Source organism: Homo sapiens, chromosome 3 (genome assembly GCF_000001405.40).
Source record: "Homo sapiens chromosome 3, GRCh38.p14 Primary Assembly".
Lineage (NCBI taxonomy): Eukaryota > Metazoa > Chordata > Mammalia > Primates > Hominidae > Homo > Homo sapiens.
In genome coordinates this window covers 136,056,657-136,081,038 of record NC_000003.12, presented here as the reverse complement: position 1 = coordinate 136,081,038, position 24,382 = coordinate 136,056,657, and the positions used below count along the sequence as shown (strand labels likewise).

The 24,382-nt window shown below is 37.9% G+C and overlaps 1 protein-coding gene across 9 annotated transcripts in view, besides 1 other annotated feature; it reads right to left on the bottom strand.

The window, feature by feature from the left end:
* PPP2R3A (protein phosphatase 2 regulatory subunit B''alpha) overlaps positions 1-24,382 on the bottom strand; it is a 182,167-nt gene that overhangs the window by 66,856 nt on the left and 90,929 nt on the right. For 8 of the 9 annotated variants that reach the window (NM_002718.5, XM_017006787.3, NM_001190447.2 and 5 more), the window contains 2 exons: positions 10,487-10,561; positions 2,586-2,672 (listed from right to left, as the gene is read on the bottom strand). In NM_002718.5, the coding sequence (NP_002709.2) occupies positions 2,586-2,672; positions 10,487-10,561 (162 nt within the window). Of the gene's footprint in view, positions 1-1,755; positions 1,890-2,585; positions 2,673-10,486; positions 10,562-24,382 lie in introns of all 9 variants that reach the window. The other variant, XR_001740196.3, reaches the window with a different exon arrangement.
* Positions 9,924-11,123: an enhancer, noted in NCBI's record as "MED14-independent group 3 enhancer chr3:135788758-135789957 (GRCh37/hg19 assembly coordinates)". NCBI's record gives its function as "activates an origin of replication core promoter dependent on BRD2, BRD4, P300/CBP and CDK7 cofactors, and independent of MED14, by STARR-seq in HCT116 cells {active_cell/tissue: HCT116}" and the evidence as "EXISTENCE:reporter gene assay evidence [ECO:0000049][PMID:35650434]".

Genomic DNA, 24,382 nt, shown 5'->3' with positions numbered 1-24,382 from the left:
CTGGGCGACAGGGCAAAACTCCGTCTCAAAGAAAAAAAAAAGAAAAAAGAAACACATGAGGGACAAAGAGGACTATTTCATAACACAAATGTTAGTATTCTGACAAAAAATTATTTTTTAAAATATAAACACTGGAAAACCAAAGTGCTCTGGCAAACTAACAACAACATAAATTATTATTAAGTTATGGTAAATCTGCTGGATAGAAAATTATGCAGCTAGTAAAAATTATAAAGTTTACACTGAAGACCATGATATGGTAAGTACAAAATATAGGATACAAGATTGTACCCACTAAGAACTACATAAAATCCTAAAAATGCATATATACATATGAATAAGACTAGATGAATACAGACAAAAATGATACTAGTTGTATAAGGGTGATAAAATATGGTTTTTCTTCTGTCTTCCAAACTTGCTCATATTACTTTGTTTTATAAAATGTCCTTTGATATGTAAGAAGCAGAACACTTTCAATAAAGCACATATTTAGAAGCAAAGCGCTATTATTTTTACCCACTGGATTGGCATAAAATGAAGACGACAGCAACTTTTGTTGGTGAGTATATAAGTGAAAGTAGTGCAGGCTTTTTGGAGGGTAACTTGGCAGAATCCACCAAATTAAAAATGCACATACTATTTGATCCAGGATTTTCCCTCCAGTGGTCTATTCTACAGACATTCTTACTCATACCCCATACAAGGATGTTCACTGCATCACTGTAATAGAGGAAATCTGAAAACGATTTGGACATCAATAGAGGAATATGTAATTAATTACACTTTAGCCATGGAATTGATTATGCAGTAGTTGAAAGAATGAGATAGACTTATATGAATGGAAATGAAAAAAACCCTGAGACACTGTTAAGTGAAAAAACCAAGTTAAGAGAATAGTATGAACCCATATATTTTTTGAAAACCCTCAAAATAGCAGCCATACAAAACAAAACTATATACTACATGTATATAAGAGAATAAAACCACAGATGATATGGGTCCCCCTCTGGGGAAAGGGGGTAAAATGGTAGAGTGAAGAATAGTGACTTCTGTTTATTACTCTAGATGTGCTCATATTATTTGAATGTTTTATGAGTATTGTTTAAGTACGAAGAGGAAGACTAAGGAAAGGGGCAGGGAAGGAAAGCGAGGAGAAAATAAATCATGCTCTAGGAAGCAGAACACTTGAGTTCTTTTTCCAGTTCAGCAACTTACTTTTGTGTGATCTTATACAAATCATTTAAGTATATTTGGGCCTCAAATTTTATCACTGGTAAAAAAAAAAAAAAGGATTAATTTTAAAAGCCAAAAAAGAAAAAATATGGATTAGGCCAGGCATGGTGGCTCACGCTTGTAATCCCAGGACTTCGGGAGGCTGAGGCAGGTGGATCATGAGGTCAGGAGTTGGAGACCAGCCTGGCCAACACAGTGAAATCCCATTTCTACTAAAAATACAAAAATGAGCTGGGCATGGTGGCACACGCCTGTAGTCCCAGCTACTCAGGAGGCTAAGGCAGAAGAATCACTTGAATCCAGAAGGCGGACATTGTGGTGAACCCAGATCGCACCACTGCACTCCAGCCTGGGCAAGAGAGCAAGACTCTGTCTCAAAAAAAAAAAAAAAAAAAATTATGGATTATAAAAATGATTCAGAAACTACAACCTATAATGTGCTTCAGGAAAGTGGGGGATTATCATCATTACTCTTGAGGTATTATGGAATTACTGCCATTTTAACCCATCCCATATTACCTACTGAGAGCCCAGGCAGGCATCAGGTGTTCAATAAATATCAACACTGACTGTGATGATGACTGTTCATTTTAGAATAAAAAAATGTTTGTATATCCATCATGGACTGCTAATTTTGCCAAGTCTTCATTACTCTGTCTCAGATGAAGATAGGAAAAAATAAAGAGTAAGTAAGGTTGTATTATTAGCCTAAATTCCATTTAGTATGATTCTTAAAAATAAAACATTTCATTTTCTTCCAAGTGTGAACAATTTCACTTTATGTTTACAGAAGCTTAAACAATCAGGCATGAAGATTACTTCGGTAAAAGGCTCCCACTAGTGGTCAATACTTTCTCTCTCATTTGGTAATATGAATAAAATAATTGAATGAAATGTATTCTTTCTTAAAAGGAATTTTTAGTACTTTTCTCTAGCAGGTGCTGGATACAGAGTCATTGCTGAAAGGATCAAGTTTAAAATCTTCCAAGGCCTTTCCAAGACCCTTCCCAACCTAGCCCCAGCCCACCCCTCCAGGCTTATCTATTGTGAAGCCGCCTCTGTACGTTTTATCCATGTCTATGGAATTTATCAAGTCAGGTTTAGTGTCTGTACACTTCACTCTTTTGCTCCAGAGTGCATGCCTTCAGGCAGAGATCCCTTATTATTCTCTTCATTTTTACCCCCTCACCCAAAACATTCCAGCATCCCACGACAGGTATTTGATAAATGCTTAATGACTGAAAGTAGTGACAGTGCTTTGAATAGAGTAAGCGCTCAAATATTTGTTAAATAAAGTAAGAAAATTATCTAAATTGCTCATTACACATGAATTCTAATGAAAGGCATACTTGCAAAAAGTTGCTTTTTCTTATCTCTGTCGAAGTAATTTTTCCACTCCAAGATCTGTTGACTGTGTAGAATATTCTCTGAATAACCTGGTTCCAAAAGGAAAATAAAACCAAATAAAAACATTAAAGATCTCCACTACTTTCTCAAAGGCCATTTTATGAACATACTTGGGACCAATTTAACTTTTAGCTTTTTGATTATGTTAAGTGTAATTCCTAGTAAAAATCAGCACTGTATTTTTAAATCTACATCTATATATTTTGGATTTGCCTCTGTACTTCCAAGAAGAATAAAAAAAATTCTCTGCTCACAAGTCTTCACTTCCCAACTGCCTTCACATCACTTCTTTTGTTTACCTCTAATTTATACAGTGATGCCTGATTCAAGTAATGCTTATGGGGCTCAATGTTTTGGGAAGGCATATGAGGTGGGAAGTATCTCCTGGGTTGGCCTAATGATTGATTAACTGGTCAGAAGGGTGGCTATCAAGGTGGTATGATTCAAGAGGGCCTTATTCTGGTTATTATAGCCTTATTCACTTGAGTCTTGAAGACTCTCGGTCTTCTAGACTCTATGGAAATTCAAATACATCTGGGATAATTTATATCCTAACTTTTATTTGGGCATGAACATCTTTGTTATTAGCTGGTGTTTTAATGGGTTTAGCAGAATTGCAACTCTGGAGAAAACCTTGGATAGAATGGGAGAAGAGGAGATAAGAAGCAAATGTGTCTAGATTGAGGATGTGTGTGCTGTGGTGTAGGAGAAGACCAGAGAAGGAAGATGGAAGCTGCAATCCTGGAGGTAGGAGGTCACAGTGCATTCTTAACAATTTTACCTGCAGTCATTCCTACCCACTTCATTTCCCTTTCACTGATTATTTTTCTTCTCCCAAAGGAAGCAGTGGTAAAAAGAGCAATTTGAGCAGCTTTATTTTTTTGGGTGGGTGGGGGGGTGCATTCTGCTTTTATTTTGATAGTCTAATAATACAGAAATCCTGTATCTTTGGTGGTTTTATCATGGAAGAAATTAGATCTCTTTTTCAAGATATTTTGGTGCGAGAAGAACAAATAAGGCAAGATATTTGGACATCTTTCTCAATAGTAGGCCTAATGAGGGACTAAACCACCTTTCTTTTCTGGATTCTTCAGCAGAGAGAGTGATTCTTCAACTGTTCTAAACAGGGAAAAACTAGCATCAGGATGAAGGTCTAGATTTCAGCTGTCCAGCGCTCACTACCCCACCCCTGCTATCAGTGCTAACCCCTCTGACCCTACAGAATTGAGCTCAAGTGCCACGCTCCATGGGAGGCCCCAGGACAGGGACTGACTAGAGCTCTGCCTTCTGTGCTCCCACTGCCACCTGAGCCTCCTTTAGCTGTCCCTGTGGTTACATTCCAAACGCTGGTGCACCTGACCATCATCACCTCCAAACACTAAGAGACCAGGTCTTTCTTGACTTGTATTCCAGTAACTTATATGGTGCTTTTTTTTTTTTTTTCTTTCTGAGACGGAGTCTCACCCTGTCGCCCAGGCTGGAGTGCAGTGGCACAATCTCGGCTCACTGCAAGCTCCACCTCCCGGGTTCACGCCATTCTCCTGCCTCAGCCTCCCAAGTAGCTGGCACTACAGGTGCCCGCCACCATGCCCGGCTAATTTTTTGTTTTTTAGTTGAGACGGGGTTTCACTGTGTTAGCCAGGATGGTCTCCATCTCCTGACCTTGTGATCCACCCGCCTCGGCCTCCCAAAGTGCTGGGATTACAGGCGTGAGCCACCGCGCCCAGCCACGGTGCTTTCTATATATCAGGTGGTCCATAACTGCTTGATAAAATAATGAGGTTTGAAAGTTACATAACAAAGATTTTTGTATTATCTTTGTGTTAGAGAAATACGGGTTGGCTTCATAACTATTTGAAGAACTCTACTCAGAGTTTTGCATAGCAGATGAATGTCAACCCAAGAAAGGTCTCTAATTAGTATTTCACATATATCAGTATTTTTGTCTATTATTTATAGATAGAATCATATATAATGTGCAAAAACCACAAAACAGGTAAGTGTAACTATATTCAAAATGATTGTGAAAGATGCTACTAATGTAGTAATGTTTAATCTTGAGAAAAAATAAGACTAGAGTGTAGATGTGATCAAGATCTGAGTGGCTATTGGGCGGAAGAAGAAGCTGACTTGTTCTGTGTTTCACCAAAGGGAAGAATTACAACTGCTAGACAGAAATGCATTTATACTGAAATGCTTCAATATAAGGAAGACTTTCCTAAAATTAGCCCTATAAAGCAATGAGTTTGTATGAAGTGGCTGGGTTTCTTTTCATCTTTTCACCACAAGTATTTAGGAAGAAGTTGACAGGATTCCTGAATTAGGTGGGAGCTGGGACTAGGCAGTGCCTAATTTCTCTACTGGCCCCAACCACTCAGACTCTGAGGTCACTGAGGACAGAGAACATGTCTTACTCAATACTGTATTCTTAGCACTAGCTTGGCGGAAGTTCATGTAAAAACGATGGAGGATTTTTAGCACAGAAAATTTATGTACGAAAATAAACATTAAGAATTTGATTTATCATAATTCCATGTCCCCTCTCTCAAGTTAAAGTCAATTTCAATATATATTATTAAACCACATTTTTCTATTGAAGATTTTTGTCCTTATTTCTTGATTCTGAATGTAAATTTATCTTAAAGTATGAGTTTTCTATCTAAAATTTATATTTATATACTCAAATACTTTATATTATTTATGAAATTACTGTGTTAAAAATTATAAAACTTTATAATCTGTATCCATTCGTGCTTATTTTTCTCCTCTTCTTTTTGAATTTTTAAAATCTGCAAACAGTTTGACTGTTAGGCATTTCCTATTTTTAGCCTGTGCTAACCTACTTATCTAATACTATAAGACAATGTATTTGTATTCCATTTTTCCATAGCCTAAATCTCCTTATTCAGTGGCCACACTTCATCAGCACATTTGTTGGTTTCCACATCACTGATTCAGCACTTTAGATGGCTGAGGCAGGAGCACCATCTAGTGGTGAAGCATGTAGCTGCTGACTCTACACTAATTATTGTTTTTCTAACTGCTCTCTTCTAGGTAAATAAAATTCATCATCATTTAAAATATCAAATAAAATTTTACAATAAATCATAATTAGAATAACTATTTTCTGCTAGTGAAATAAATGAAATCTGACCATTTTTCACCAAGGGATCTTTAGTCAACTTGATATATAAGTTAAATTGTAAGTCAGTTTCCTTTCTTCTTGGTATCTATTGAATTAGAAATCTCTAATTCACAAGTATAGGTCACCAGGAATGGAAATGTTTGATGGCTCTGTCATATAGTTTTTGAAAAATGAATTAAATACAGACATAGAAGTTACAAATAATTTTTACTATGTATGTGTACAGAAGAACAAACTCCAATGCTGGAAGCCTGGCTCTCACTTGGCAGGAGTGGTGAACAGATTTCTAATTCACTCTTTGGTTAACATGGCTCAGAAAAGTATTTCCTTATGGTCTTCTGTAGAGTTAGGACTTTAAAAAATATATCTAACAAAAATTTTTTTTTCTCTCTTAAGAGGAAAAGTTTTCAAGGGGGAAGAGTTGGTAAGCTCTTAGTGTGAGCAGTCTCCACTATAGCTTAGTCATCTTAGGAAAATCAGTACCTTGCCCTCCACAAGGAAAATCCTGGCATTTCAGCCTACAGTGGTGGATTCTGGCCAATCAAGATACTGAATATATCACTAAGACACACCATTGGAGCAAGCCACAGAAATATCTCTACTGCCAGCACCAGTGTCATAAAGAAGTATTTTAAATCTCATCGCTTATTTTAAAAACTCAAGTTAGCACTTCTTTCCTCAAAAGTTGGCATATGTTGGTTTGGATAAGCAAAACCTTTTATTCACTGGCAATTTTTGCACAGCATGCAAAACTGCACTCAACGGCTATGATTTGCTGGTATTTCTAATCTTCATTTTCATTCAATATCAAAGGCTTATTTCTCAACTTCTAAATCTTTTTGGAAATAAGAATACAGACTGACTTTAGGTTCAATCTCTTTTTTTGGGTAATGATGTCCTTCTTTGCTGTACAAATAGCTGATGGTCTGTCTTTCCAGTCTAAAAACAGCTGACAAAATAATTAACTAAACAAACAGCCTTTCCTGTAACATAGATTTTCAATGATACATAGAAAATAAAAGTTTTCTAACTTTCCTTCATCATATATGTACCTCACATAAGCTAATACTTGGATCACACTCTATGTCAGTGGTTTCTTCCAAATGCAAACTGAAAGAACTGAGTAACACTAGCATGCAAACATATTAATTGTTCTTCTATACTGTATGCCACGAAGATTATATAACATTCAATAGAGTCACATGGTAACTGATTTTGCTTTTTCTGAGATATCTGTCATTAATTCTGAGGCTGATCTTTATATGTTTCTTAGAAATAGTGTGATCTTAACTGTTTTTGCTGTGAGCAGGGTAGAGAACGATGTCTTTTTAATTTGGTCACTTTTATGTCTAACAACAAAATTAATTTCATACTAGAAGGCCTTATTTTACATTTGTTCTAGAAAAACTCACTGTACTCTGAAATAATGCAACAGTTTCAATGACTTCATGCCATTATTTGACCAAGTTTCATAACAGAAAAGGCACTGAGGAGAAGATAACCAGTCTAATACAATTCTATTTCCAGATAATCGTTTTTATACTTTTTATTTGCCCTTTTTGTGAGTTTATCACAATGGCAGTTATTCACTTATCTCAGTACATATTCACGTGAAATGTTCCCAATTAGGTCTTGTTTACTATTTATGTTATGGTGCTGTTTTGAGTTGCCATATTATCATCATTTTATCACAAGTATTTTATACTTAAATGGCTAGTTCTGAGTAATGGATTCACTTTTGTGCATTGGAGATAAAGCAGCACAATGTTAATAACAAAGTGAAATTTAACAAATGTAAAGTTACATACAAATGCCATGAAAATATTACAGCAGAGATAATTAACTGTACTCTATTAATTCGCCAGTGTAGTTCATTTTGTTCAACTATTATTAACATGACGCTATTTCTCAGAAAATGTGAATTATATGTGAACAAAATGGTTTCATGGCTTTTCACTCTAAAATCATAAAACTTCCTGGGGATGGCTGGGTGCGGTGGCTCATGCCTGTAATCCCAGCACTTTGGGAGGCCGTGGCAGGCGGATCATGAGGTCAGGAGATCGAGACCATCCTGGCTAACATGGTGAAACCCCGTCTCTACTAAAAATACAAAAAATTAGCCGGGCGTGGTGGTGGGCGCCTGTAGTCCCAGCTACTTGGGAGGCTGAGGCAGGAGAATGGCGTGAACCCGAGAGGTGGAGCTTGCAGTGAGCCGAGACCGTGCCACTGCACTGCAGCCTGAGTGACAGAGTGAGACTCCGTCTCAAAAAAAACCCAAACAAACAAAAACCAAAAAACTTCCTAAGGACTACTTGCTAGGTGACCAAATACCATCGAATGTCCAAGTACTTCAAAAAATATCAAACTATGCGTTCATTAAGATCATGAAAGAAAAAAAAGAAATATCAAACTAGAACCATAAAGAAAACTTATTTCCATTTTACTCTTTTGTTCTTTAATATCTAAGAATACATGCCAACAGTTTGGACTAGTTTAATTCCAACAGTTTGGACTAGTTTATTTCTAAGATCTTTTCTAACTCTTAAGAATCTAAATTATGCTGTTAATATGCCCTGAGTTTTCAGAATAGTCAATATTCAGAACCCAATAATTCTCTTTGGGACTGCAGCCAGAGCTAGCGTAGAATTCTTTTCTTTTGAGACAGATCCTTGCTCTGCCTCCCAGGCTGGAGTGCAGGGGCAAGAATCTCAGCTCACTGCAACCTCCACCTCCTGGGTTCAAGTGATTCCCGTGCCTCAGCCTCCTGAGTAGCTGGGACTACAGGTGTGCACCACCACACCTGGCTAATTTTTATATTTTTAGTAGAGACGGGGTTTCACCATGTTGGCCAAGCTGGTCTTGAATGTCTCGCCTCAAGTAATCTGTCTGCCTCGGGCTCCCAAAGTGCTGGGATTACAGGTATGAGTCACTGTGCCTGGCCTAGAATTCTTAAACATGGATAATTTCATGTATTCACTCAGTACATATTGACTGTCTATTATATGCCAGGGAATATTCTAGGTACTGAGGACATAGACAAAGTTCCTGCTTGTATGGAGCTTATATTATAGAGACGGAGATGGACAAACAAAAAATTAAATATCAGATGACAGGAGATGGACAAACAAAAAATTAAATTTTATCAGATGATAGGAGATGGACAAACAAAAAATTAAATATCAGATGATAGGAGCTAAGAAGAAAAATGAAGCAGGACAAAGGAATAGAGTGTAGGGGGAGGGGGCAGAGGAAGAAGGGTTACAAAAACAGAGAGTGATCAGGGAGGGCCTCACTAAATAAGGGAACCGAGCAGATATCTGGATGAAGTGAGGGAGTGACAATGTGGAAATCTGTAGGAAGAACATTCCAAGCAAAGGAAAGAGGAAGAACAAAGCATGTGAGGCAGAAGTGGGTTTGGTTTGCTCATGGTGGCTGAAGCAGAGTAAGAAAATGAGTGGGAGGTAGGAGATAAGATGAGAGAATAGGGGTTGCCAGGGTATGGGAGGATTATGGAGAATCTTGGCAAGGACTTGGCTTTTATTCTATGTGAGCTGGGAAACTACTGCAGGGTTTGAGCAGAGGAGTGACATGATCTGGCTGATTTTTTAAAAGGACAATTGTTTGCTCTGTGGAGGCTAGACTATGGGGCAATTAGAGTGGTAACAGGGAGACCAATTAAAAATAAACCAAGTTTGATATCAGGGCGACAGGCCAGGTTGATTGTGGTAGAGGTAATTTAGTAGAGTGTCACGGTTAACAGGAAAAAATAACTTCTGAGATTGTCTTAGATAACAGTGACACCTTCTGGCTCAAATAAAATCTTACAAAGTTTTATACTGACATAAGAGAGCCAATGCAAAAGCACTGAATGAAAAATAAAGTTCCTACAGGAGAAAAAGAAAACAGTAGTATTTTGTAACTCGGCAGGACCTAACATATCTTTGGCTAACAAACTGTACCCTAAGTATAGGAGGGTGGTCCTCAGAGGAGACGGCCCTGTTTAGCTGAGGAATCTGAGCTACATGCCAGGGCCATCTCACTTGAGAATGTGTCTGGTGAATGGCCCTGGGGCTGGTCGGTGGAATGTCTCCAAAGATAATGTGGGAGCTAGAGCAGAGTGCATGAAATGGCTACTCCGTGCCCTGTGGGCCTGTGTGTGCTCACTTATAATTCCTGACCTAACTGGGACTGACCAAATGAGGCTGTGCCTGAGAAACAGGGAGTGCGAGCTCCTCACAAAATGAGATTGTGATCATGTTGTTTTAAATTCTTACATCGTTTTCTGATTACACACAAGCTATTTTCTCATTATCATGTCCAGTTCTAACTTTGAGGTACTAGAGACCAATCTTTTTTTCTGGGACAGGGACAGACTGTTGAAAATTCTTTTCAGTCTTATTTGGAAATGCTAAATATCAACTGGATATCAATATTCATAACACAGAAAAAGATATGCCTCATAAGACCAGATAGAAGGAATATATTACTTTAATTTTGTAAGTATTGGGCACAAACAAGAAGGAAAATAGATAAAAATGAAGAAATTATGAATTCAATTTTATTTTAGCTTCCTTCCACTTGAAATAATCATTATAACCCATGTTACCTTTTGCATAGATACTTGAAATTCTGGATAGCAGATGGTAATAAAAAGGTGACTTATGGAGTTATATTAAGAAAAAAGATGACTCAGCCTACCGTGGTGATGTAGCGGGAGTGGAATTCTGGAGCATCTTTCAGGAACGTGAGACCAGGGTGGGTATCCACCACATCCTGAAAAAGATCAAAACCAAAACTAAATTAACAAACATACAAAAATTATGCCTATGGAAGTTTTTCCTTCCTGTATGTTGCCAGTTGAGCAAACTTGCTATTTTACAATAATGAATAATGCACTTAAAATTTAATTCTTTATTAAATTCGTTTCATTATAAGCATACTTATGTGTGCTTTTCTGTATACACAGCATACTTCAAAAAAAGTTGAAGTTTGATTTTAGCTACGTTAGGTAATTTGTGAATCAAATGTCTCCGAGGTATGTACTGTAATTCTAACACATCAACAGCACATCAAGGCAATTCATCCCACAGATTATTGTCGAGGTATTATGTAAAGTGTATTTACACAGAAAGGATGTCGTGGACAGTAGATGCAAGCCAATGAAAATGATCCTCTTTCATAATCTAAAAACATGGAAAATTCTTTTTGGAAAAAAAAAGCAGCCATGTAGTCAAGTAGTTTGAATCTTTGTTAAGCTGTGCAAGCCAGTTAATGCCCATCAGATTTTATCATAATTGTGTGGATAAATCATTTCTCACATTAGAATTTTATTTATTTTTAAATCTTTAATCTTGTTCTCATTGAAGACTATTGGAATATTAAAACCTGAAAATACTGTTTTTATTTTCTAATTAGATTTTTAAAGCATTCTGAATGAGCCCAGAGGATCTAATAGAGATAATCACAATATTAATTAACCAGAGGAAATAGCTATGCCATTACAGATATAGTCTATTAACTGGCTTGTCATCAACAGACAGACATCAAGTATATCTCTTCTGTTTCTTCAGAGCAGTTAGCTATAATACCAATACATAGTCTCAAACCAATGGACTTATTTCTTTAACTTTTTTTAGGCTTATTATTATACATATTACATAATTTTTATTTTTTGAGACAGAGTCTCGCTCCGCCTCCCAGGCTGGAGTACAGTGCTACGATCTCAGCTTATGACAACCTCTGCCTCTCCAAGTTCAAGGGATTCTCATCCCTCAGCCTCTTGAGTAGCTGGGACTACAGGTATGTCGCACCACACCAGGTTAATTTTTGTATTTTTAGTAGAGACAAGGTTTCACCATGCTGGCCAGGCTGGTCTTGAACTACTGGTGTCAAGTGATCCACTCCCCTAGGCCTCCCAAAGTGCTGGGATTACAGGCATGAGCCACCATGCCTGGCTAACTTTTTATTTGGAAATAATCTTATACTTACAAAAATTATTATAGAAAAATTTCCTATGCTCCTCTCCCAGCTTCCCTTAATGGTAACAAGTCACAAACAATAGTATAGTGATAAAAACCAGAAAATGAACATGGATAAGATATGAAACTACTCAAATCTCACTAGTTTTTCCACTAATGTCTTTTTCTGTTCCAGGATCTTACACTGCATTTAGCTTTTGTGTCTCACTGGTCTCTTCCAATCTGTGAAAGTTCGTTAGTCTTTCCTTACGATTTTGATGCTTTTAATGAGTTTTGGTCAGTTATTCTGTAGACTGTCTCTCCATTTGGTTTTGTTTGATGTCTGGTCATGATTAAGGTTACACATTTTTGGCAGGAGAACCACAGAAGTGATGAGTCCTTTTCAGTGCATCACTGGGCATACGTAATACAGAGGGTATGTGATGTTGGTATGTCTTCATTTGGTGATGTTAACTTTAATCACACTTAGTTCAAGTGGTGTCTGCTGCGTTCTCCACTGTAAAGTTGCTATTTTCTCTTAATAATAGATAAATATCATGGAGGCAGACGCTTTTGAGAGTGTCAATATCCTATTTCTCCTCAAAAGTTCTCTCATTCATTTTAGCATCTATTGTTAGATTATGCCTGCAACATTTACACTGTAGTGTTTACTTAATAGTGATTTTGTTTCTATTCTGTCTACATTTCTTAACTGGAAATCTTCTATAAGGAAGAGCTGTCTCTTCTCTCCTATTTATTTCTTTTATTTTTTTGAGACGGAGTCTTGCTCTGTCATCCAGGCTGGAGGGCAGCAGTGGTGCGATCTCAGCTCACTACAACCTCCACCTCCTGGGTTCATGCAGTTCTCCTGCCTCAGCCTTCCGAGTAGCTGGGATTACAGGCGTGTGCCACCATGCCCGGCCTATTTACTTTTTTTTAACAGCGCAGACTCATGGGTATTTATTTCATTCTATGGGTTATAATCCTATACTATCATCATTTTGTTGCTCAAATTGATGTAGCTTTGGCCATTAGGAGCTCCTTCAGGTTGGCTCCTGTGTTCTCTTTTTATAAATGAGACAGGGTCTTACTCTGTCACCCAGAATGGAGTGTAGTGACTCCATCTTGGCTCACTGAAACCTCTACCTTCCAGGTTCAAGTGATCCTCCTTCCTCAGCCCCCTGAGTAGCTGGAACTACAGGTGTGTGCCACCATGCCGTTTTTGTTTTTTAGTAGAGATGGGGTTTCACCATGTTGCCCTGGCTGGTCTCGAACTCCTGGGCTCAAGCGATCTGCCTGCCTTCGCCTCCCAAAATGTTGGGATCACAGGCATGAGCCTGGCCACCTGTGTTCTCTTGATATGCCCCTGTGTTTTTATGGGGACTTTCATATTTTCTGGCATAAGATGACCCATGTTTATCTTGTATTTTCCTTGCCCCAGCTCTGGTATACGAACCTTTTGTCTAAGAAGCCCTGGCTCCTTTCATTGGAAAATGGTATTTGAAACCAAATCTGGGTGTGAAAGGTGCCCATTACTACTAGAATAGTATTTCATTGTGTACATTTTCTTTATGCCTTCATTCACTAATACTTAGGTTGATTCCATATATTGTTCAGCTTTGGTTAGTTTCCTCATCTATTTGCTGATCAGTACTCTGCTGAATACTCATGGAGGAACTTCTGAAGATCTCTGAGGATTGTTCTCCATGCAGTTCTCTCCTCTTTGGTACTCTGTCCAGAGAATTCTAGTCACCTTGGTTCTCTTAGACCCTTAGGCTCTGTCTCCTAAACTCAAGGAGTCCACTTAACTCAGCCTGGGTTTCCCATTCTTGCACTATGACTAGAAAACTTTCTCAAGGTGGTACGCTCTCTCAATCCTAAGACTCACTTTGTTTCTGTCTCTCAGGAATGAATCACTCGTTTGTTGCCTGATGTGCACCATCTTGAAAACCCATTGTTTTATATTTCCTGTCTGTTACTTTCCATTTGTTGCAAGTGGAAGGTAAATCCAGTCCCTGTTAGTCCTTCTTGGTCAGAAGTGGCAAATCTATTGATTTTTCTGTTAATTTTATTTCCTCCTACTTTAATATTTTATTGAGTTAGTTTTATTACTAATTTTTCTGAATTTTCAAACTTTACTGTCATCTGCAACAAGATACTTTTACTTCTTTAACCAATCTTATGCTTCTAATTGTTTTCTCTTATACAATTACTACAGTAAAATGCTGAATAGTAGTGGAGATAGTGGGCATCCTTGCCTTGTTCCTGATCTTTGTTGAAGTGCCTCTAGTGTTTTCCCATTAAATAAGATATTGGCTTTAACACTAAGGTATATGTATTTCATCATGTTAAGAAAGTATCTAAAATACAGAGAAATTTTTTTTCCTTAGATATAACATACGACATTAATAAATGATATGGTTTGGATCTATTTCCCTGGCAAATCTTATGTTGAATTGTAATCCTCAGTGTTGCAAATGGGGGCCTGGTGGAAGGTGACTGGATCATAGGGTGGATTTCTCTTGAACGATCTAGCATTGTCCTCTTGGTGCGGTCCTCGAGATAGTGAGTTCTCATGAGATCTGGTTGTTTAAAAGTGTGCAGCAACTCCCCCACACCTTGCTCCTGCTCTCGCCAAGTGAGATGCTGGCTTCCCCCTTGTCCTTCTGCCATGATTGAAAACTCCGAGGCTTCACCGTAGGCCAAGCAGATGCCAGCACCGTACTTCCTGTAAAGCCTGCAGAACTGTAAGCCACTTAAACCTCTTCTCTTTATAAATTACCTAGTATCTGTTATTTCTTTACAGCAATGCAAGAACAGCTTAACACAATAAATATCCTAATATTAAAACAATCTTGCCTTCCTGGAATAAATCCCACTTGGTCATGGTATATTGTTTGGTAATGTTTTATTACCTTTTATCATTCATCTTGAAGCTATATTTGTTTGCAGTTTTATTCTCTGGATGGTCTTTTCCTGATTTAGGTATCAGTGTTATACTTGCTTCATAAAAGGAGTTTGAAATTTTCCTTCCTTTTCAATACTCTGAAATAATTTATGGAGCATTTGAACTACCTGGTTGTTGAAGGTTTGGCAGAATTCCCCTGTAAAACTACCTGGGCTTTGTGCTTTTTTGTGCAGTTTTGTAATAAATATCTGTATTTATTCTATAAAAGCTAGTCTGTTTACCTTTCTAAATCAAATGGAGTCAATTTGGGTCCTATGTATTTTCCTAGGAAACTGTCCATTTCATCTAGGATTTCACATTTATTTTCCTAGGTGTCTGCAAAGTAGCCTTTTCTGATTTTAAAAGTTTCTTCTGGCTAGGTGCAGTGATTCACCTGCAATTCCAGCACTTACAAGGCCAAGGTGGGAGGGTCACTTGAGCCCAGGAGTTCAAGACCAGCCTAGGCAACATAGCAAGACCTTGTCTCTATAAAAAATGTAAAAATTAGCTGGGTGTGGTGGTGCACATCTGTTGTCCCAACTACTTGGGAGGCTAAGGTGGGAGAATTGCTTGAGCCCACATAGTTGAGGCTGCACTGAGCTGTGATGGTGCCACTGCATTCCAGCTGGGAAACAGAGCGAGATCCTCCTTGTTATTTCTTATTTTGCATATTAGTGTATTCTCCCTTTTTTCTTAATCAAATTAGTCAGCTGTTGGTTTTTGTTAATATTTTCCCATAACCAAAATTTCAATTTATTAAAAGTGCTATTGGTTTTTTATTCTCTGCCTTCTTAATTTCTGATCATTACTGGGACTAGGTGAGGGGTACATAAGGCTTTGCTATACCAGTATGTATGCATTTCAAAATTCTCCATAATAAAAACGTAAAAAATTTATATATACACACAGTATAAAAGCAAAAGCATATACAAGCATTTATATAAACAAACATTCTACTAACCTACCCCACCCTTCCATCTTTAGCCCCACTTCTTTCCAATCATTTACACTTTTAGGTCTTTTGCTGGTTATCTCTATAACTAAACATATATTTAATAAAAATGTAATTAAAAACTACATTATAATTAGTACTTTATCAACTTTAGAAAATATTGATTCTTTGCTAGGAAACATGTGGATTTAGCTCATTTGTACTGTCCTACTTTACTCCCCTATCCCAATATTTGAGGTTATGATGTTCAGTTCTTTGGTTGATTATCTTTGTAAGCTGCAAAACTTGTATTTATCCATCTAATTTTCATTCATCATAGTTCCTTACTTTCCTTTTACATAGGATAATATCAACCCATCCTTATTCTCTCTTCTCCCTTTTACCTTCATATTTTATTGGCAATATTTTGACTTTTATGTTGTGCAGGTTTTTTTCATACTGTTCTACAACCACAATAAAATTTTCTATAGATTATCCACACAGTGATTTTAGATGCTATAAACTAAAATGTTTTTGTGATATTTTGATTATATAAATATGGTTGAATGTCAGGTCAGGCAATCTATGAGGAACGTATTTCATTATGTGTAGGTCCAGCATCAGGGTCTTGGAATGTTCAAAGGAGATTGTTTCTGACATTGAGGTTAAACTGTCTTTTCTAACTGCATCAGCTGTTCATAATCATACCATATTTTATTCTGCTTCTTGTTTAGATCGTGGCTGTCTTATATAGTTTTTTCATTCTTCCTGGCATTTCTAATTGTTTTTAATTTACTTTTTTTCATGAAATTAGAAATCATTTTTATTTACACAAAAATTATGGAAACAATTTTCATTAGCTTTGACGAGTTTCCTTAAGCTGGAAAGGTGAACACAACCATTTCCTGACATATCCACAACAAGAGAAACACCCTGAAACACATTTGAAAAACACATTAGTATAGAACCCATGCACCCCTCCAGAGTCTTATTTTTTTTTTATACTTTAAGTTTTAGGGTACATGTGCGCAACGTGCAGGTTAGTTACATATGTATACATGTGCCATGCTGGTGTGCTGCACCCAGTAACTCGTCATTTAGCATTAGGTGTATCTCCAAATGCTATCCCTCCCCCCTCCCCCCACCCCACAACAGTCCCCAGAGTGTGATGTTCCCCTTCCTGTGTCCATGTGTTCTCATTGTTCAATTCCCACCTATGAGTGAGAACATGCGGTGTTTGGTTTTTTGTCCTTTTGATAGTTTGCTCAGAATGATGGTTTCCAGCTTCATCCATGTCCCTACAAAGGACATGAACTCATCATTTTTTATGGCTGCATAGTATTCCATGGTGTATATGTGCCACATTTTCTTAATCCAGTCTATCGTTGCTGGACATTTGGGTTGGTTCCAAGTCTTTGCTATTGTGAATAGTGCCGCAATAAACATACATGTGCGTGTGTCTTTATAGCAGCATGATTTATAATCCTTTGGGTATATACCCAGTAATGGGATGGCTGGGTCAAATGGTATTTCTAGTTCTAGATCCCTGAGGAATCGCCACACTGACTTCCACAATGGTTGAACTAGTTTACAGTCCCACCAACAGTGTAAAAGTGTTCCTATTTCTCCACATCCTCTCCAGCACCTGTTGTTTCCTGACTTTTTAATGATTGCCATTCTAACTGGTGTGAGATGGTATCTCATTGTGGTTTTGATTTGCATTTCTCTGATGGCCAGTGATGATGAGCATTTTTTCATGTGTCTTTTGGCTGCATAAATGTCTTCTTTCGAGAAGTGTCTGTTCATATCCTTCGTCCACTTTTTGATGGGGTTGTTTTTCTTGTAAATTTGTTGGAGTTCATTGTAGATTCTAGATATTAGCCCTTTGTCAGATGAGTAGGTTGCAAAAATTTTCTCCCATTCTATAGGTTGCCTGTTCACTCTGATGGTAGTTTCTTTTGCTGTGCAGAAGCTCTTTACTTTAAAAAGATCCCATTTGTCAATTTTGGCTTTTGTTGCCATTGCTTTTGGTGTTTTAATCATGAAGTCCTTGCCCATGCCTATGTCCTGAATGGTATTGCCTAGGTTTTCTTCTAAGGTTTTTATGGTTTTAGGTCTAACATTGAAGTCTTTAATCCATCTTGAATTAATTTTTGGTATAAGGTGTAAGGAAGGGATCCAGTTTCAGCTTTCTACATATGGCTAGCCAGTTTTCCCAGCACCATTTATTAAATAGGGAATCCTTTCCCCATTGCTTGTTTTTGTCAAGTTTGTCAAAGATCAGATGGTTGTAGATATGCGGCATTATTTCTGAGGGCTCTGTTCTATTCCATTGGTCTATATCTCTGTTTTGGTACCAGCACCATGCTGTTTTGGTTATTGTAGCCTTGTAGTATAGTTTGAAGTCAGGTAGCGTGATGCCTCCAGCTTTGTTCTTTTGGCTTAGGATTGACTTGGCAATGCTAGCTCTTTTTTGGTTCCATACGAACTTTAAAGTAGTTGTTTCCAGTTCTGTGAAGAAAGTCATTGGCAGCTTGATGGGGATGTCATTGAATCTATAAATTACCATGGGCAATATGGCCATTTTCATGATATTGATTCTTCCTACCCATGAGCATGGAATGTTCTTCCATTTGTTTAACTTATTGACACAGGCTTCATCATAGCCTTGTTTCCTTATTCTTTTTTTTTTTTTTTTGAGATGGAGTCTCACTCTGTCACCCAGGCTGGAGTGCAGTGGCATGATCTTGGCTCACTGCAAGCTCCGCCTCCCAGGTTCACGCCATTCTCCTGCCCTAGCCTCCTGAGTAGCTGGGACTATAGGCGCCCACCACCACGCCTGGCTAATTTTTTGTATTTTTAGTGGAGACGGGGTTTCACAGTGTTAGCCAGGATGGTCTCGATCTCCTCATGATCTGCACACCTTGGCCTCCCAAAGTGCTAGGATTACAGGCGTGAGCCACTGTGCCCAGCCCCCTTATTCTCAAATGTAACTGTATTGCATGGAGTTGCTCCTTGCCTCCCTCTCCCCCATCATGGAGAAGACCTGCTTGGAGGAATTTTACCACCTTCTCTCTTCTGAACTGGCTGCTCTTCAGTTATCCTGATGCTGCCCTTCATTACTTCTCTGGATTGAATCCACTGTGTCTTAGGTCTCATGTATTCCTCTTTCTTGGTTTACTTACTTTGCTGCAGTATATATGCAAGTAACCATTTAAGAAGCAAAGAGGTAACTTATAAAGGAGATAAACTTTCTCAGTCCATGAATGTCCAGGAATCAGGTTTATGTGAACCTCATTCCTAATTACTAGGTTAGCAAGATACAGAAATCTAAGTTCAAATCCATTTCCTGAGGGATGCCAATGAGAATCTAATACCATCCTAGTCTCTTTATCTACATTTTTCCAAAACTTCAAGGACATGTTTATGCATGTGTCTTAAAGAAATTCATAATTGTCAGGACTCAGTGTTTTTTTTTTTTTTTTTTTTGAGATAGAGTCTTGCTCTGTCGCCCAGGCTGGAGTGCAGTGGCGTGATCTCGGCTCACTGCAAGCTCCACCTCCCAGGTCCCGGGTTCATGCCATTCTCCTGCCTCAGCTTCCCGAGTAGCTGGGACTATAGGCACCCGCCACCACGCCTGGCAATGTTTTTGTATTTTTAGTAGAGACAGGGTTTCACTGTGTTAGCCAGGATGGTCTCGATCTCCTGACCTCGTGAGCCACCTGCCTCAGCCTCCCAAAGCACTGGGATTACAGGCGTGAGCCACTGTGCCCGGCCTCGCTTGCTTTTTGAGAAAGTCTTGCTCTGTCACCCAGGGTGGAGTGCACTGGCGCAATCTCAGCTCACGGCAACCTCTGCCTCCCAAGTTCAAGCAATTCTTCTGCCTCAGCCTCCCGATTAGCTGGGACTGTAGGTACGTGCCACCACACCCGGCTAATTTTTGTACTGTTAGTAGAGATGTGGTTTCACCATGTTGGCCAGGCTGGTCTCAAACTCCTGACCTCAAGTGATCCGCCCGCCTTGGCTTCCCAAAGTGTTGGGATTACAGGTGTGAGCCACTGTGCCTGGCCTCAGTGGCTCTTTTTAACCAAAGACTTATATATTTTAGCTCTGCAAAATGATTCTGTATTATTTTATTTGATGATTTCTCTCCACTTTTCCCCTTCTTTCTTCCCCACTCTCCAATTAGTTAGATATTAAAATTCCTGAAGTGGTCCTCTATATCCATCTTCTTTTTCTCTCTCTCTTTCTCTCTGAAAGATATCCTCAACTTTAGTTTCCAGGTCTTATGCTGAGCTTTTGGTACCTACATTTTAAAATTCTAACAGCTTTTTCTTGTATCAGCATTCTGTTTTCATACAGTTTATTCTTGTTTTTTTATTCTTTTTTACATTTATTTAAATTGACAAATAAAATTGTACAATTTATCATTTACAGTGTGTTGTTTCAAAATATGTATTTATTGTGGAATGGCTAAATTGAGTTATTAACATATGTATTACCTCATTATTTTGTAGTGAAAACACAAAATCTACTGTCTTAGCAATTTTCAAGAATAGGATACATTGTTATTAACAGTAGTAACCATGTTGTATGATAGATCTCTTGAAATTATTCCTATTTAGCTGAAATTTTGTATCCTTTGATTGACATCCTCCCAGCTTTGGTTATTAGTCCAGTCTCACATTGCTCTAAAGAACTACCTGAGACTGGGTAATTTATGAAGAAAACAGGTTTAATTGACCCACAGTTCTGCAGACTGTACAGGAGGCATGCCTGGGGAGCCCTCAGGAAACTTACAATCATGGCGAAAGGCGAAGGGGAAGCAAGCATATCTTCACATAGCAAGCAGGGGAGAGACAGAGAACAAGGGGGAGGTGCTACACACTTTCAAACAATCAGATCTCATGAGAACTGTATGAGACAGCACTAGGAGGATGGTGCTAAACCATTAGAAACCACCCCCATAATCCAATCATCTCCCACCAGGCCCCACCTTCAACACTGGGAATTACAATTCAACATGAGATTTGGGTGGGGACACAGAGCTAAACCATATTATTTGGTAATTACCATTCTATTCTTTACTTCTATGAGTTTACCATTTTTAGATTTACATATAAGTGAGATCACGTAGTATTTGTCTTTCTGTGCCTGGCTTCCTTCACTTAACATAATGTCATCCAAATTCATCCATGTTGCTGCAAATAACAGAGTTTCCTTCTTTGTTTAAAGCTGACTGGTATTTCATTGTGTATATATACCGTATTATCTTTTTAAGTTTTAAGTTCGGGTGCTCATGTGCTGACTTGTTACATAGGTAAACTTGCGTCAAGAGGGTTTGGTTGTACAGATTATTTCATCACCCAGGTATTAGGCCCATTAACTATTAGTTATTTTTCCTGATCCTCTCCTTCCTCCTACCCCCTCCAACCTTCAACAGGACCCAGTGTCTGTTGTTTCCCTCTATGTGTCCATGTGTTCTCATCATTTAGCTCCCACTTATAAGTGAGAACATGTGGTATTTGGTTTTCTGTTTTTGTGTTAGGTTTGCTAAGGGTAACAGCCTCCAGCTCCATCCATGTACCTGCAAAGGCATGATCTCTTTCTTTTTTATGGCTGCATAGTATTCCATAGGGTATATATATCACATTTTCTTTATCTGGTCTATCATTGATGGGCATTTAGGTTGATTCCACCATGTCTTTGCTATTGTGAACAGTGCTGCAATGAACATACATGGCATGTCTCTTCATAAGAGAATGATTTATATTCCTTTGTATACATACCCAGTAATGGGGCTGCTGGGTCAAATGGTATTTCTATCTTTAGGTCTTTGAGGAATTGCCACACTGTCTTCCATAATGATTGAACTAATTTACACTCCCACCAACAATGTATAAGCATTCCCTTTTGTTCACAACCTTGCCGGTATCTTATCTTTTGACTTTTTACCAACAGACATTCTGACTGGTGTGAGATGGTATCTCATTGTGATTTTGACTTGCATTTCTCTAATCATCAGTGATGTCGAGTTTTTTTTCATATGATCGTTGGCCACATGCACGTCTTCTTTTGAAAAATATTTGTTCATGTATTTTGCTCACTTTTTTATGTTTTTTTTTCTTGTAAATTATTTAAGTTCCTTATAGATGCTGGATATTAGACCTTTGTTGGATGCATAGTTTGTAAAAATTTTCTCCCATTCTGTAGGCTGTCTGTTTAGTCTGTTGATAGTTTCTTTTGCTGTGCAGAAGCTCTTTAGTTTAATTAGATCCCATTTGTCAATTTTTGCCCGTTACAATTGCTCTTGGTGTCTTTGTCATGAAAGCTTTGCCTGTGCCTACGTCCTGAATGGTATTGCCTAGGTTGTCTTCCAGGGATTTTATAGTTTTGCGTTTTACATTTACGTTTTAATCCATCTTGAGTTAATTTTTGTATATGGTATAAGAAAGGCATCTAGTTTTAATCTGCATGTGGCTAGCCAGTTATCCCAGCACCATTTATTGAATAGGGAATCCTTTCCCAATTGCTTTTGTCAGGTTTGTCAAAGATCAGACAGTTGTAGCTGTGCAGTCTTATTTCTGGGTTCTCTATTCTGTTCCATTGGTCTATGTATCTGTTTTTGTACTGGTACCACACTGTGTAGCCTTGTAGCATTGTTCGAAGATGGGTAGCATGATGCCTTCAGCTTTGTTCTTTTTGCTTAGGATTGCCTTGGCTATTATGGCTCTTTTTTCGTTCCATATTAATTTTAAAGTAGTCTATTTCCTATTTCTGTAAAGAATGTCAATGGTAGTTTAACACTGAATCTATAAATTGCTTTGGACAATATGGCCATTTTAGTGATATTAATTCTTGCTACCCATGAGCATGGAATGTTTTTCCATTTGTCTGTGTCATCTCTGATTTATTTGAGCAGTGGTTTGTAGTTCTCCTTGTAGAGATCTTTCACCTCCCTAGTTAGCTATTCCTAGATATTTTATTCTTTTTGTGGCAATTGTGAATGGGAGTTCATTCCTGATTTGGCTCTCGGCTTGTTTTTGGCATACAAGAATGCTAGTGATTTCTACACACTGATTTTGTATCCTGAGACTTTGCTGAAGTTGTTTATCAGCTTAAGAAGCTTTTGGGCTGAGACTGGGGGGTTTTTGAAATATAGGATCATGTCGTCTCCCAACAGGGATAGTGTGACTTCCTGATGCCCTTTATTTCTTTCTCTTGCCTGACTGCCCTGACTAGAACTTCCAATACCATTGTAGTTGATCATTCAGTATGATGCTTGTCATATATGGCTCTTATGATTTCGAGGTATGTTCCTTCAATACCTAGTTCACATTTTTGTTATGCCTCCATTCACTGATACTTAGGTTGATTCTGTATTTTGGCTATTGTGAATAATGCTGCAATGAACCTGGCAGTGTAGATATTTCTTCAACATACTGATTTCATTTCCTTTGGATATACACCCAGTAGTAGGACTGTAGGATCATATGGTAGTTCTCTTTTTAATTTTTTGAGGAAACTCCAAACTGTTCTTCATAATGGCTATACTAATTTACATTCTCACCATCAGTGTGCAAGGATTCCCTTTTCTCTACATCCTCTCCAACACTTGTTATCTTTCGTCTTTTTGATAATAACCATTCTAACAGGTGTGACATGATCTTTCATTGTGGTTTTAATTTGCTTTTCTCTGATAGTGATTTTGAGCATTTTTCATATACTTTTTGGCCATTGTTTGTCTCCTTTTATGCAATGTCTATTCAGATTCTTCACCATTTAAAAATGTATTGAGGTAAAATATAAATATAAAATTTACCACATTTACCATTTTAAGTGTACAGTTCAGTGGTAATAAATACATTTATATTCTCTTTTTCCCTTCATCTTCTCCCTCCCCTTTCCCCCTTCCTGGTCTCTGTTAACCACCAATCTACTTTCTATCTTCACAAGATCCATTTTTTAAACTCCTGCATATGAATGAGAACATGTGATATTTATCTTTCTGTGCTTTGCTCATTTAACATAATGGCCTCCAGTTCTATCCATATTGCTGCAAATGACAGGATTTCATTCTTTTTTATGACTAATATTCCATTGTGTATATATACACTGTATTTTCTTCATCCATTGATTGGCACTTGGGGGGTTCCATATTCTGGCTATTGTGAATAGTGTTGCAATAAACACAGAGTGCAGATATACTTATTTCCTTTCTTTTGGATATTTCCGGATCATATGGAAGTTCTATTTTTAGTTTTTTTGAGTAGCATGATGCCTCCAGCTATTCTCCATAGTAGCTGTATTAATTTACATTCCCACCAACGGTGTGTGTGGGGGGGGTCCTCTTTCTCTGCATCCTCACCAGCATGTTATTGCCTGTCTTTTTAATACAAGCCATTTTAACTGGGGAGAAGGTGAAATGATATCACTTTATGGCTTTAATTTTCATTTCTCTGATGATTAGTGATGCTGAGTATTTTTTCATATACCTGTTGCCTTTGCCCATTTTTAAATAAGGTTATTTTCTTGCTATTGAGTTGTTTTGAGTTCCTTACAAATTTTGGATATTAACACCTTGCCAGATATATGGTTTGCAAATATTTTCTACCATTCTGTAGATTTTCTTTTCACTCTGTTGATTATTTCCTTGACTGTGCAGAAGTTTTTTACTTTGATGCAATTCCATTTGTCTATTTTTTCCTTTGTGCTTTTGGGTTCATATCCAAAAAAAAAATCAATGCTAAGACGAGTGT